Source organism: Homo sapiens, chromosome 13 (genome assembly GCF_000001405.40).
Source record: "Homo sapiens chromosome 13, GRCh38.p14 Primary Assembly".
Taxonomy (NCBI): domain Eukaryota; kingdom Metazoa; phylum Chordata; class Mammalia; order Primates; family Hominidae; genus Homo; species Homo sapiens.
This window is the reverse complement of record NC_000013.11, coordinates 39,644,466-39,659,779: the sequence shown is the minus strand read 5'-3', so window position 1 is coordinate 39,659,779 and position 15,314 is coordinate 39,644,466. Positions and strand designations below refer to the sequence as shown.

Below are 15,314 nucleotides of genomic sequence, written 5' to 3'. Positions count from 1 at the left end.
TAATTTTTTTGTTAAAAAAGCTAAAATTCCTAAGATAATCTTCTAGAACAATGTTAACTTTCTAAGAATTAATATTTGTGGAAGTCACAGATTCATAAATCACATTAATACAAATAAAGATCTAGATGCAGCAAGAGAAATTAGCTAAGCTTTCTATTTGGGCATAGTATACAAATAGCAAACATATCAACCTAATTCAAAAAAATACTTAGCACAGAGCCAGGCGTAATAGTAAGTTCTCAATATATGCTAAATGAAAAGAGTTTACATACCTCCTTCACTTCCTTGAAAATGCTTACAAATTCTTCATTGATGGCTAAACTTTTACGTTCAATATCTCCACGTAAATTTCTTCGAGTCCGCAGACTATTTTCAACAAAAAAGGTTGAAAGTGCCTTGAGAGCTTCTAACATCTCCTATACAATTGGTAACAGAAGACAGTTACTGGAACTAATTTTTAAATGGTTTCAAATCTCAAGACAAAATGTAATGAAATCATTTTCAAATGATTTATTTTCATTAACCAATCCGAAAAATATTGAATGACCTTCAAATTACTGAAGCATGCTTATTTCCAGAACACAAGAAGGGTATACTTACTTGTGTATAGTGTTATATATACAAGATTATTCACTGCAGAATTGTTGGGAATTGCAAAGACTAGAAATAATATAAATGTCCATCTAAAAGGGATTGGTTAAATAAATTATGATATACTCATTCACAAAAAAAAAATCTTTATGCACTTACGTAGTATAAGCTTTGAGATATGTTAAGTGAAACATCAAGGCATAGAAACAGTTGTAATACCAACAGTTAAAAACTTAAAAGGAATATATACATGCATACTTACTTGTGTATACCTAGTTGACACATATATAATGTGCACATTAACTATCTCTGGAATGATCTATTTAAGAATAAGTACTGGAATCCTCCAGGCTAGAAACTGAATAACTGGAAGTAGAACTTGGAGAAACTTAAAGGGGAAGGCCTCTCTGAGGTGACTTTGAACTGAGGCCTCAGTGTAGGCAACAGCCAGTCATGGGGACAAAGCCTTCCACAGACAGAGCAAACAATGAGTACAAAGACCCTAAAGTGGTAGAAGGAAGGCCACTATGACTGAAGTTATGAGAAATTATTACGATTTTAGGCAGGGGAGTAATGTAATACGATTTATATTTATAAAAGTTTATTCCAACTTTGTAAGGAAAATGAATGGTAAAGGGGTACAAGAAAGGAGGTAGGTAAGAGAAAAAACAAAAATAATCCCAGTATGGTTTGATAGTGGCTTAGACCAAGATGGCAGTAGTACAAATGAAAAAGAGATATTCCAAAATATGGCACGGTGGCTTACACCTGTAATCCCAGCAGTTTGGGAGGTCAAGTTGGGAGGATAGTTTGATGCCAGTTCAAGACCAGCCTGCATAACATAGTAAGACCCCTATCTCTATAAAAAAATCAAAAAATTAGCCAGGTATGGTGGCATGTGCCTGTAGACCCAGCTACCTGGGAGGCTGTGGCAGGAGGATCGCTTGAGCCAGCAAGATCAAGGCTACAGTAAGGCCATGTTCTCTCCATTGGACTCCAGCCTGGGCGACAGAGTGAGACTTGGTCTCAAAAAAAAAAAAAAGATATTCCAAAAATATTCTTCAAAGTAGAACCTATAAGATATGTTTGTGGATTTGCAGGAGATGTAAAAAAAAAAAAAAAAAAGTGACAAGAATCCAAAATTATTCATATGCTTCTTGCTTGACTGGGTAAATGGTGACGTTCTTTAGTGAGAGCGGAACCAGTTTAGGGAAAAATCAAGAGTTCCGCCCATGTTAAGTTCTATGACGTCAATCAGTATCCAATTGGAGGTATAGTATAGACAACTAATTCTACAAATCTGGAGCTCAGTAGATGTCAGAAACAGAGTTATAAATTTGAGAGTAATCATGCTTTTTGCTACTTAAAACCATGAAAGTACAAGATTTTTCTTACAGAGAAAACATGAATGGAAGAGAGAGCAGAGAACCAAGCCCAGGACATCCCCATTGTACACTAAATTCTGCAGATATACATTTCTACACCTCCACTACTGTATATTCTAGTAGGCTTACCCTTTCATGTTTCTATTTGTTATTTTGAAATATTGGCTGGATTGACAAAAACAGTAAAACTATTTATATAAATTCAATTTAATATTTCAGAGGAAGCAAAAATATGTTTACAACTATAAATACTTACTGTACAGAAAAAAAAAACCCATGAAGTGAAGCAGTTTCTTTAGACTATAGCCTTGAAATGTCCTAAGGTCTGGTTCAAAGAAGTAATCAGTAATGTTGAACGAATGAAATCACAGACTCAGATGCAAATTACAGTTCCACCAGTTACTAGTTATATGACAACCTAGCTGCACTCTCTCCATGCTTTATTTTCCTCATGGTAAAAAGAAGGTTATGTGGCCGGGCGCAGTGGTTCACGCCTTGTAATCCCAGCACTTTGGGAGGCTGAGGCGGGCAGATCACCTGAGGTCAGGAGTTCAAGACCAGCCTGACCAACATGGAGAAACCCCGTCTCTAATAAAAATACAAAATTAGCCAGGCGTGGTGGCACATGCCTGTAATCCCAGCTACTTGGGAGGCTGAGGCAGGAGAATCGCTTGAACCCGGGAGGCAGAGGTTGCAGTGAGCCGAGACTGCGCCCATTGCACTCCAGCTTGGGCAAAAAGAGCAAAACTCTGTCCAAAAAAGAAGGCCATGTTATCTATATCAGAGCAAGTAGCAGTCTTAAATGATATAATAAATATCAATATGAGACACATTAAACACTTCATAAATTTTATGATAAAATTAATATTTGTTAAGAAAGAGTAAGTGCCAGGCTCTTTGCAAAGGACTTTACCTGGAGTCTCTCACTGAGTCCTCAAATAACAACCATGAGAAACTTAACAGCAGGATTCCTAATTCCTAAACAGAAGCTGAGATTAGTGAAGGGACTTACTCAAATCATGATGCACACATTTAGTGGTTCTATCTAATAAGTGGTAGTCTCCAGAGCCCTAATTTCTTATTCATTACATTGCAATGTTATTTTTTTACATATCGGAATCAAATTGTTATCGACAGCTTATTTTCAGTTACCTACATATTCACCTATAAAACTCTCTAACTTTGACATATGTTCTTCTTTATGTTACACTGTCATGACCAATTTACCTAGCGACCCACAGAGACAGAAGAGATGGCTGGGTATGTGAGGAGCTGTAAAGTCCAACTTAAGTTTCAGGAGGTACTTGTGAGAGCATGCTGTCAGTTTATCTTCTAAAGAAATACAGCCTGAGCCCACAAATCATAGCGCTTGGCTCAACAAAAACTAGTAGATATGAGTTCATTTCAGCCACGGGCAAAGGTAGTTCTTTCGCGCTGCAAATTATTGCAATTGTTGTCACTTGTCCGTGGAAATGCACCCTTATCCCTACCACTGCTCTCTTGGTCTCCCGACCCCCATTTGCGCTACCTTATCTTGGAATCTGCTCTTTTGCATCTGTTTCATATCCAGTCTTGTGCTCTCCTCCACTCTCCCAGCTCACACAGCCAAACGCCTCCAGGGGTGTTTGGAGGACACTTCTCGAGGCACCACCGTTCACCAATCCCATCCAGAGAGCCTTGAAGGCACCTTTTCAGGTGGAGAGAACACCCAGGAAACCCCTTCGCTTTTCCGGAGGTTGCTGGGGCTCCCCCTTCTCACCGCCCCCGGCGCCCGCAGAGCAGCGGAGCCCGCAGGTCTGGGGTCACTCGCGGTCCCTCTGCTGCCGGGACGAGGGAGACCGCGGTGGGTCCCTGACAGACGCCGCCCCTGGCCCGGCTCAGCCCCGCAGGAACCTGTGACTCCGGCCCCGCCAGCCCCGGTTACCTTGTCGTTGTCCAGCCGCGTCTCCAGGATCTTATGCAGCTTGCGCGACAGCGGGTTGCAGGTCGTCGCCGAGGTCCCGCCTGCCCCATTGTTGAGGCCGTTGGCAGCCCCGGTCGCAGACACTGCGACCACTTCCCCGCTGCCCTCTGCCATAGCGCTGCGCGTCCCGCCCCCTGCTGCCACCTCAGCCAGGCAGGGACCACGGAGGCAGCGCGAGTATTGCGCATGTGCAAATCGGCCGCGCATGCGCATCGGCCCCGGAAGTCTTCGCCGGGTAACCCTGCTTGGGCTCTCAGAAGCGTGAGGGGCGGAGAAGATGTGGGGGGCGGGACAAGACCCTCAGGTAGAAGGAGAAAATTTATAGGATTAGAGAGGACTTTGGAATTATGGATCTGCGACCTTCAGAGCTAATTAGATGACAACCAAATGTAGTATGTAAAATACACCATGACTTGTGCCTGGCATATACATTCAATATAAGTTAACTGAAAGTTTAAATTACATTTGCCTTATCTGAATTCATTTTTTTGAAAATTATTTATTGAAGGCATAGTATGTGCCAGGTACTCTGGTAGGCATTGGAGAATCTACATTGTGTGTCTGAAACAGACAAAGCTGTTAATAGATGTTATTAGGTTGTGATGAGTGCTCAGGGGATGAAGTAGTACAGTGAAAGAAAATGGAGGGAAAGGCCCACTTCACTCAGGGAGGTTTGGAGAGGAGTTGACACTTAAACTGAGATTTGAAGGAGAATCAGAATGTGAGGAGAAATCATTCCCAGGCAGAAGAAAGTGTGTAAGTGTACAGGCCTCAAAACAAGATGAACTTGGCCCTGACACAAATGGACCAGAGCCCATGTAGCTGTAAAGTAATGGATAAAAATGTAACAAGTTGAAAAAACTTCCCGGGAAACTCTGGAAAACAAACATCATTGCTTTTTTTCTTTCTTTTCTCAGTTTTTAAAATTTGGATCAAAATAAAATCGCTGGGCTTCTGTGAATTATTTGTCAGAAACACTATTTGGCTCTTGTCATAAATTTTCCTTGTTTCATATATGTCTATGTACATAGTTATATTGTATATCAGACTTAAGGGAAAATTACCTATTACAGAGGTCACATAAAGAAAGCACTGACAAAACCACTCATCTCTACTCTAATGAAGAAGAGAAGGCCCAACTATCCAAAAGAAAAAAATATACAAAAAGCAGCAATATCTAGGTATGAATTCAACAAAAAATACAGAGAACCTAGATGAAGAAAACTTTAAAATGCTACTGGGAGAACATAAAACTTAAATCAATGAAAAAATATATTGTTCTCTTCAACAGGAAGACTCAATATTGTAAGATGTCTTTTCTCTTTCACAGATAAATTTAAGTTCAGTGTAACCAAAATTAAAATATCAAAGGTTTACCTAAGGTGTATATATCCAAATGAATTTGCATATATACAAAGCAATAATATAATGTAGAGCTTGCAAATATGTACAATTAAAAGGAATGACGATGATAACATGCCAAGTCAGGAGCGGTCATGAAATACCACATATTGTATGACCTCTTTATGTGAAATCTCCCAAATAGGTAAATCAATAGAGATAGAAAGTAGATGAGTGGTTCTGGGAAGAGGAGTGTTGGGAAGAGGGAATGGGGAGTGTCAGTTCATGGTACAGGTTAATTTTTGGGGAGATGAAAATACTCTAAAGCTAAATTGTGGTGATGGTTGCACAACTCTGTAAATATACTAAAAAACACTGAACTGTACACTTTAAATGAATGAATTGAATGGCATGCAAGTTTCATCTCAAATCTGTTTTTTAGGCCAGGTATGGTGGCTCACACCTGTATTCCCAGCACTTTGGGAGGCTTAGGCAGGGGGATCTCGAGTTCAGGAGTTAAAGACCAGCCTGGGCAACATAGCGAGACCCTGTCTCTACAAAAAAAAAAAAAAAAATACGAAAACTAGTCGAGTGTGGTGGCATGCCTGTGGTCCCAGCTACTTGGAAGGTTGAGGTGGGAGTATCACTTGAGCTCAAGCCTGCGGTAAGTCATAATCATGCCACTGCCCTCTACTCTAGCCTGGGTGATGGAGCAAGGCCCTATCTTAAAATTGAAAAAAAAAAAATAAAGCTGTTTATTTTAAAAAGTAAATTGGAGATAAATAGACAAAATGTTTAAGTAATAAAAAATACAAATTTATATTAATTTTTAAAATCTTTATTTAGATATAATTTACAGGCCATAAACTTCACCTATTAAAAGTATAAAATATGACAGCTTTTAGTTCATTTACAGAGTTGGCAAATATCACCATCATCTAATTTTAAGACATTTTCATTACTTTAAGAAGAAAACTGTACCCACTAGCACTCCCCATTTTCCCCTCTCTACCACCCTAGGAAACCACAAATCTGCTCTCTGTCTCTATAGATATGCCAGTTTGGACATTTCATATAAACAGAATTATACAATATGTAACATTTCATGCCTGACTTCTTTCACTTAGCATAATTTTTCAAGGTTCATCTATTTTGTAGCTTGTATCAGTGTTTCATTCCCTATTATTGCCAAATAATAATCCATTGTATGGATCTCCCATATTTTATTCATTCGTCAGATGGCTATTTAGGTAGTTTCAAATTTTTGGCTTTTATGAAAAATGTCTCTGTGAATTTTCATGTGAGAGTTTTTGTGTGGATGTATGTTTTCACTTTCCTTAGGAAGATACCTAGGAGTAGATTGTTCTTATGGTTAACTCTATGTTTAATGTTTTGAGAAACTGTCAAATAGTTTTCCGAAGTGACTGCCCCATTTTTCATTCCCACCAGCACTGTATGAGGGGCTCCAGTATTCTTCACATCCTGACTAACACTCATTATGGTCTGTCTTTTTTATCTTATCCATCCTACTCAGTGTGATATGATACCTCATTGAGATTTGGCTTTCCATTTCCTAGTGACTAGTGATATTGAGTTGTAAGAATTCTTTATATATTCTGGATACTAGTCCTAACAATTTATTGGAAAATATTTTTTCCTACTTTTGCTTGTCTTTTCACTTTCTCAATGGCATCCTTTGAAGCACAATTAATCTTAATTTGATGAGATACAACTTATCAATTTCCTTTTTTATTATTTGTGCTTTTGGTGCCTTATTCAAGAAATTATTACCCAACCTAGATCACAAAAATTTATTCCTGTGTTTTCTTCTATTACATTGGCACAAAAGTAATTGCAGGTTTTGCCATTGAAAGTAATGGCAAAAATCGCAATTACTTTTGCACAGGCCTAATAAAATTTTATAGTTTCAGCACTTATATTAAAGCCTATCTTGTACCTTGAGCTAATTTTTGTGTATGGATGTTAGGTAGGGATCCAGTTTTATTGTCTTAAATGTGGATATTCAGTTGTCTCCCACACCATTTGCTAAAAGGACTATTCTTTCTCCCATGTGAGCTTTTCTATAGATTGAGAAAAAGCCGATGATAAAATCCAATATCCATTCATGATTAAAGAAACAAGTAAACTCTTAGCAATTTGAATAAAAGGGGATTTCCTTAATTGGATTGAGAGTATATACAAAAAAAAACCCTATGACAAACATCACACCTAAGGAAATATTTAAAACTTTCTCCTTGACATCAAGAATAAGACAAAAACTATCCACTAACACTGCTATTCAATATTTCACTAGAAGCTCAAACCAGAATAATAAACTAAGAAAAAAGTCATAAAGATTAGAGAGAATTTTTAAAATTTACACTTTTTGATAGGTGATGCAATGTGTCCCTAGATAATCCAGAAGGATCTATAGAAAAAGTGTTAGAATTAAAATAATAACCTATTTCACATATTGTTTTCCAAAACTCCAAAAAGGACAGGATCTTGGAATTCAACTAGCTTGCAAAAGAAGTTGTGTGACTCTTTAGCACCTCATTGCAAAAATGTGTTTTTATGTTGGTCAGGACTTACTTCATCAATTACCGCTGCCTGTAAAGGTGATTAAAAATCCAAAATTAAAAAAGATATGGAGCCGGGTGTGGTGGCTCATGCCTGTAATCCCAGCTACTCAGGAGGCTGAGGCAGGAGAATCGCTTGAACCTGGGAGGCAGAGGTTGCAGTGAGCCAAGATTGCACCACTGCACTCCAGCCTGGATGGTAGAGCAAGACCCCTTCTTTAAAAAAAAAAAAAAAAAAAAAAAGAAGAAGAAAAGAAAAAGATACAGAGGCTGGGCACAGTGGTTTATACCTGTAATCCCAGCACTTTGGGAGATAGAGGCAGGAGGATCACTTGAGCCCAGGAATACGAGACTAGCCTGGGCAACATCAAGAGACCCCACTTCTATAGAAAATTTTAAAAATTAGCCAGTTGTGGTGGTGCATGTTTGTATCCCAGCTACTTGGGAGGCTGAAGTGGGAGGATCACTTGATCTCAGAAGGTTGAGGCTGCAGTGAGCCGTGATTGCACCACTGCACTCCAGCCTGGGTAACAGAGTGAGAATCTGTCACCAAAAAAAAAGAAAAAAGAAAGAGAGGGAGGGCTGGAGGCGGGTGTGGAGAAAAGAAAAGAAAGCAGGAGAGAAAAGAAGAAGGAAAGAAAAGGAGAAGGAAAGAAAGAAAATATTTGGGCTGGGCATGGTGGCTCACACCTCTAATCCTAGTACTTTTGGAGGCTGAGGCAGGCAGATAACTTGAGCCCAGGAGTTTGAGACCAGCCTAGGCAAGAGGGAGAAACCCTGTCACTTCAAAAATACAAAAATTTCGCCAAGCGTGGTATCGCACACACCTGTAGTCTCAGCTACTCAGGAGGTTGAGGTGGGAGGATTGCTTGAGCCTGGGAGGCGGAGGTTGCAGTGAGCCGAGATCATGCCACTGCACACCAGCCTGGTCGACAGAGTGAGACCTTATGTTTTAAAAAAAAAAAATTGATTCCAATGTTATTTAAGTTATTCTAGGATTCAGGATTTCTTAACTTTGGCACCATTGACATTTGGGGCTGCATATTTTGTTGTTGTTGGGAACTATTCTGTTCACTGTAGGATGTTTAGCAGCATTACTGGCCTCTACCTACTAAATGCCAGTAGCATCCTCCCCAGTTGGAACGATCAAAATGTCTCCAGACATTGCCAATGTCCCTGAGGGGCAAAATTGTCCGGGGTTGACAACCACTGTTCCAAGCCGTAAGTATTTTAGTTATCTGATATTGCTTAACATATTTCCCCAAAACTAGTATATTAAAAAAAATCATAACTTCTGTCAGTCAGGAAATCAAGAGTGACTTGGCTAGGCGGTTTAGGCTCAGGGTCTCTCATGAAGCTGCAATCAGATATTACCTAGGACTGCAGTCATCTGAAAGCTTAATTGGTGCTGGAGGATTCACTTCGAGGTGGCTCACTCACATGGCTGGCATATGCTACTTACTAAAATGAGGCTCAATTTCTCACCAAATGGTCCCTCCCACAGGGCTATCTGAGTGTCCTCATAACATGGCACTCTTCCTGTTAGGCATTTACTATGGATATAATGCAAAAACTTCCCACAGTATATGAACAAAGATATTTATCTACCATGGTTTGTAATAGAGAGAAAAATAGAGATAGAGAGAGAAAGAAAGAGAAAGGAAGGAAGGAAGGGAGAAAAGCAGAAAGAGAGAGAGAGAGAAAGAAAGGATGGAAGGAAGGAGAGACTAAGGGAGGGAGGAGGAAAGAGAGACAACCAGAGTGTCTATCAATACAGGACTGAACAAATAAACTATCATGCACTCATTCATTCAGCAGAATACTATGCAAGTGTTATCTGCTATGAAGGAGATTTAAATGCTAACATGGAAATAATTCCACAATATACTCTGTGAAAAAGCAAGCTATATTATGTATGTATGATGAGATCACTTACGTGCACGAAATGGAGAGATACATATAAATTTAGATTTTTTTTCAGGATGGCATTCCAGTGGAAGGAAGGCTTCCATTTTCCATTTTGTACCTTTCTAAACTGATTGAAATTGTCTAGTCTTATTCATGTATTACTAAATATATTAACAGAGGTTATTAAGGTAGAGTAACCATGACCCACTTTTCTTGTTTATTTCTAATTCTCTGAATTAACAATTGTAAAAAAGTAAATGAGATAATTCATGAATTAAAATAATATGTGGTAGCATGAAAACAGGGAAATTATTTTATGTTTTAAATGCTTACTTAAGTATGTTTTTATGAGGTTAATTATAAATTGTTAAGAGCTTAAAATCAATATTTGTCAAGAGTTAAAATAAATTTTCAGGTGTGCCTCATCAGATACGTGTGTGTGTATGTATCCATATATTTTTGAAAGTAACGTTTTTTAGTGAAAATGTGAAAGATAATTGTTTATAGTAAGCTCCATAAAGTAGTAGAACATTAAAATAATTAAAAGATATGCTTTGACCTAAACATTTCAATTTAATAGGAGAACAAATACACGCATGTAAAAGAGCAAAGGATTTAAAAGAAAATGACAGAAGAACCATGCAGTAGACTGAAATGTGGAGATTCTTACCTTCTAAGAAATGATTGAGGCCAGATGTGGTGGCTCACCCTTGTAACTCCAGCACTTTGGGAGGCCAAGGTGGGCAGATCACCTGAGGTCAAGAGTTCGAGGCCAACATGGTAAAACCCTGTCTCTACTAAAAATACAAAAATTAGCCAGACATGGTGGTGCGCACCTGTAATCTCAGTCACCAGGGAGGCTGAGGCAGGAGAATTGCTTGAACCTGGGAGGCGGAGGTTGCAGTGAGCCGAGATTACACCACTGCACTCCAGCCTGGGCGACAGAGCAAGACTCCATCTAAAAACAAACAAACAAAAAAAAAAAAACAAAGAAAAGAAAGAAAAAAAAGAAAAGGTTGAAAGGAGGGCCTCTCCAAGTTCCTATTCCTCTCCTTTAGATCAAGCTCGTCCAACCTGAGGCCCACAGACTGCATGGATATGGCCCAGGACAACTTTGAATTCTGCCCAACACAAATTTGTAAACTCACTGAAAACATTATGGATTTTTTGCAATTTTTTTAGAGCTTCAGCTATCATTAGTGTTAGTGTATTTTATGTGTGGTCCAGGGAAGCCAAAAGATTGGACACCATTGCTTTAGATGGTTAAGCTTTCTTGCCCTTTGGCTTCTGAAATAAGAGGAAGTCACTTTGTATTGGTTACTGTGGCTTCATCAAAATATAATATGGCATTTATTACGGCTATGTCTAGTGAGTCATAGAATTTTCAGCCTTCGACATCTTTCATTGTGTTGATAATAGTAGCTCCCGTTATTTAGCAACTATGTTTATTGAAAATCAGGCTCTGTGCTAGAATTTATTATACACTATTTTTATCTTCACAGCTACCCTGAAACATAAGGATCATTACATTATCATGTAATTAGTACTCCTCTTGATGAGTAATCCAAGACTAAAGAAACCTTTCCAAGGATATATGGCTAACTCAGATAACACAGCCAGCTACCACCTAAGTTGGCGTTTAGCTAAAGGGTTCAGCCAGGCGTGGTGGCTAATGCTTATTATTCCAACATCTTGGGAGGCCGAGGTGGGCAGATCGCTTGAGGTCAGGAGTTCGAGACCAGCCTGGCCAACTTAGCGAAACCCTGTCTCTACTAAAAATACAAAAATTAGCTAGGCATGGTGGTGTGCACCTGTATTCCCAGCTACTCCAGAGGCTAAGGCAGGACATTCTCTTGAACCGGAGAGGCAGAGGTCGCAGAGAGCCAATATCATGCCACTGCACTCCAGCCTGAGCAACAGAGCGAGACTCTCTTTTTAAAAAATAATAATAATAAATGAAAAATAAATAAAGGGTTGCATTACTGCTTTCTCGGTTTTGAGCTGTGTACACCTCTCCCTTGGAATGTAAGCAAAAATTTTTGCAGCTAAACGTTCAAATGTGTTTTATGTTGGTGTTGCCTTGACCAGGTTCTTACTGCCTTCACAGTGACACCAGCATTATTTTTCTAAAACACAGATTTGATCCTGTCATTTTTTTGCTTTAAAAATCGTGATGGTTTGTGAAACAGGTATCTAGTGGGGATCTTTAAAAAAAACAAAAATAAAGAAAAAAGAAAAGTAAAAAAGTAATAAAATGAAATAAAATAAAAACTGTGATGGTAGTTATCAAATAAATGAATGTTTTATTATGGTATACACAGGCATTCATAATCAGATCTCATCATCAGATTTCATGTTATCACTCTGGCCTTATTTCTAGGCACTTGCTTCATGATTGCAACATTCTGGCCATACTCTACTTGCTAGGCTACAAGTGCATCACAAACTTTCATCTCCTTTTGTTGGCTCCTACAACCCACTTGTGTTAGTCCATTTGGGCTACTATAACAAAATACGTAAACTGGAGAGCTTTTAAACAACAGAAATTTATTTTTCACAGTTGTGGAGGCTGGGAAGTCCAAGATCCAGGCACTGGCATATTCGGAGTCAAGTGAGGGCCCGCTTCCTTGTTCATAAATGGCTCCTTCTCACTGTAATTTCACAGGTAGGAGGAAGTGGCTAGTGAGTTCTTTGAGGCCTCTTTTGCAAGGACACGAATTCCTATCATGAGAGCTCCACCCTCATGGCCTAATCACCTCCCAAAGGCCAAGCCTCCTAATTCTAACTTGGGAATTAGAATTTCAACTTATGAGTTTTGCAGGGACACAAACATTCAGATTTTGGCACCACTCTTTCAGGAAAGCCTTCTCTTATAAAACTAGTGATATCCAATTTGTCCTTCAGGCCCCACTCAAACAATTCTTTGTACCTTCATGAAGCACCCTACCTCTCCTTGAGCAGAATTAATTGGTCCCTCATGCAAATTCCACATCATATCATTATTTTTAAAATTTCTTTTTATATTTGTTGTTCCCCCACTAGACTCGAAGTACCTGTATGATAAGGACTATGTCACTCATCTTTGTCTACCCAGTTTCCAGCACAGCATCAGGCACAATATATGTGCCTTAGTAGGCTAAAGGCTTACTCAATGAAAAGGATTGAAATGAAGTTTTATGGCTTTGTAAGTTAGGGTTCTTAATTGCAATTGTTAGGAGCAGACTGAAGACGATTTAAATAGAAATGTATTTATTGAAAGAATAGTGGGTAGGTCTTAGAATCAACAAGAAGGAGGAAGAACCAAGCTTGTAGGAGAGGCAAAAACATAAGGAAACTAGGCACACATAACCATCATCAAAATCACTGCACAAAACAACTCATCATGGACCCATTGTGAGATGGACAGATTGCTCCACCCACACTGCAATGTCTGCAAAATGCTATAACAATGCCTGGGTTATGAAATAAGATGTATAGAAGCTGAATTATCTAATTTGGAAAATAACACACAACTGCCACATATATCTGAGCTATGTCACACCACCATCAGTGAAACTATACAATCAACCTTTTCAGTCCAAGTCCCATACAACAATTCCTCGTTCTCCGACAAAGTACATATATTTACACACATTTCCTATTCTCTTTCAGTCTCAACGTTCATCTGGCACACACATGTCCATGCATATACATAAATACATCGTCTAGTATTAAGGTATAAATATTCATGTACTTTCTAAAGCTCTGGTTGTGTCCTCTTTCTTTATATATTCATTCATTCTCTAAAAGCAAAATTCTAATTGTGTTCACTTGTCTGTTCTTGTAGTCCCAACCTGTAGGGTTGCCTTATTTATTCAGTACATACCACATTTAACCCCTCAATAGCAGGGTCTCCAATTTAAATATCACAGTTAGTAATTTCATTATTCAACCTCTATGCTGGCAGCTTTAACACACAAACTATCTATTTTTCCTTCTTTCTAGTTGGCCTCCCAGTCATTATTCTGCATAGGCCTGGCAGCCTTCTGCTTTTAATTGATTGCTATTGATTTTATTTTCAGAATATACGAACCCAGGGCCTCTTAGTGGAATTAAGCACCCACCTGTCACAGAGAATCTGATTTCTGTTGAACTCTTTCTGCTTACGTTTCCCATGTACACTATGCTGTGCCTTGCCTATCCTACGCCTCTGCCTGGAATGCCCTTCCTTTCTTCTTCCCTTGATTAGACTTATTCATTTAGGTTGCTCAGGAGCCTCATCTCCTAAGTGCCTTCCTAGTTAGGCCAGGTGTCCCTTCCATGTGCTTTCAAATAATCCTAAAGATTGTTCTCTCACTGTACATTTCACAGTAAAAATAATTATCCATGTGTTTTTATTATTTCCACTAGTCTGTGAACTACTGAGGTTAGAAACTATGCCATTCATCTTTGAATACCGGGTCCTTTATGCAGTTCCTGAAATTTAGCAGGTGCTATAGTCTGAATGTTTGTGTTTCCTCAAAATGTGTACATTGAAATCCTGCCCCCAAGGTGATGGTATTGAAGTAGGACTTACCATTTGACCCAGCAATCTCATTACTAGGTATATACCCAAAAGATTATAAATGATTCTACTATAAAGACACATGCACACATATGTTTATTGCAGCACTATTCACAATAGCAAAGACTTGGAACCAACCCAAATGCCCATCAATGATAGAGTAGATAAAGAAAATGTGGCACATATACACCATGGAATACTATGCAGCCATAAAAAAGAATGAGTTCATGTCCTTTGCAGGGACATGGATGAAGCTGGAAACCATCATCCTCAGCAAACTGACACAGGAACAGAAAACCAGACACCATATGTTCTCACTCGTAATTGGGAGTTGAACAGTGAGAACACATGGACACAGGAAGGGGAACATCACACACCAGGGCCTGTCAGGGGATGGGGGGAAGGGGAGGGAGAGCATTAGGACAAATACCTAATGCATGTGGGGCTTAAAACCTAGATGATGGGTTGATAGGTGCAGCAAACCACCATGGCACATGTATACCTATGTAACAAACTTGCATGTTCAGCATATGTATCCCAGAACTTAAAGTAAAATTAAAGAAAAAAGAGGTAGGACTTCTGGGAGACGAGTAGATCATGAGGGTTTCACTCTTACAAAAGAGACCAAAGAGAGCTAGCACACCCTTTCTATTATGTGAGAACTCTCCAAGTAGTCACCATGTTTAGGAAAGAGGCCAGGCCCTCATCAGACACCAAATCTGCTGGCATCTTGGTTTTTGACTTCCAAGTCTCCAGAACTATGAGAGATAAATATTTGTTGTTTACATGCCACTTAGTCTGTGCTATTTTGTTATAGCAGCCAGACTTAATTAGCAAGGAAGAATTTAGTAAGTATTGTTGAATAACTTAAAAATTAATATAAATAAATAGATGGACCAACTTTATTTGAATAAATCATGATCCAAATGGAAGCAAATATATTCTATTTTGTTGTTGTTGTTGTTTGAGATGGAGTTTCACTCCAGTCTCCCAGGCTGGAGCAT

At 38.9% G+C, this 15,314-nt stretch overlaps 1 protein-coding gene across 4 annotated transcripts in view, besides 1 other annotated feature; it reads right to left on the bottom strand.

Moving 5' to 3' along the window:
• Window positions 1–4,153, bottom strand: part of COG6 (component of oligomeric golgi complex 6) — a 136,040-nt gene extending 131,887 nt beyond the window's left edge. For 3 of the 4 annotated variants that reach the window (NM_001145079.2, XM_011535168.2, NM_020751.3), the window contains exons 1-2: window positions 3,901–4,118; window positions 273–416 (exon numbers count right to left, since the gene is read on the bottom strand). In NM_001145079.2, the coding sequence (NP_001138551.1) occupies window positions 273–416; window positions 3,901–4,053 (297 nt within the window). In that variant the 5' untranslated portion in view covers window positions 4,054–4,118. Of the gene's footprint in view, window positions 1–272; window positions 417–2,889; window positions 2,955–3,900 lie in introns of all 4 variants that reach the window. The other variant, NR_026745.1, reaches the window with a different exon arrangement.
• Window positions 3,805–3,854: a silencer, noted in NCBI's record as "silent region_5278". NCBI's record gives its function as "represses an Ori minimal core promoter by ATAC-STARR-seq in GM12878 lymphoblastoid cells {active_cell/tissue: GM12878}" and the evidence as "EXISTENCE:reporter gene assay evidence [ECO:0000049][PMID:35858748]".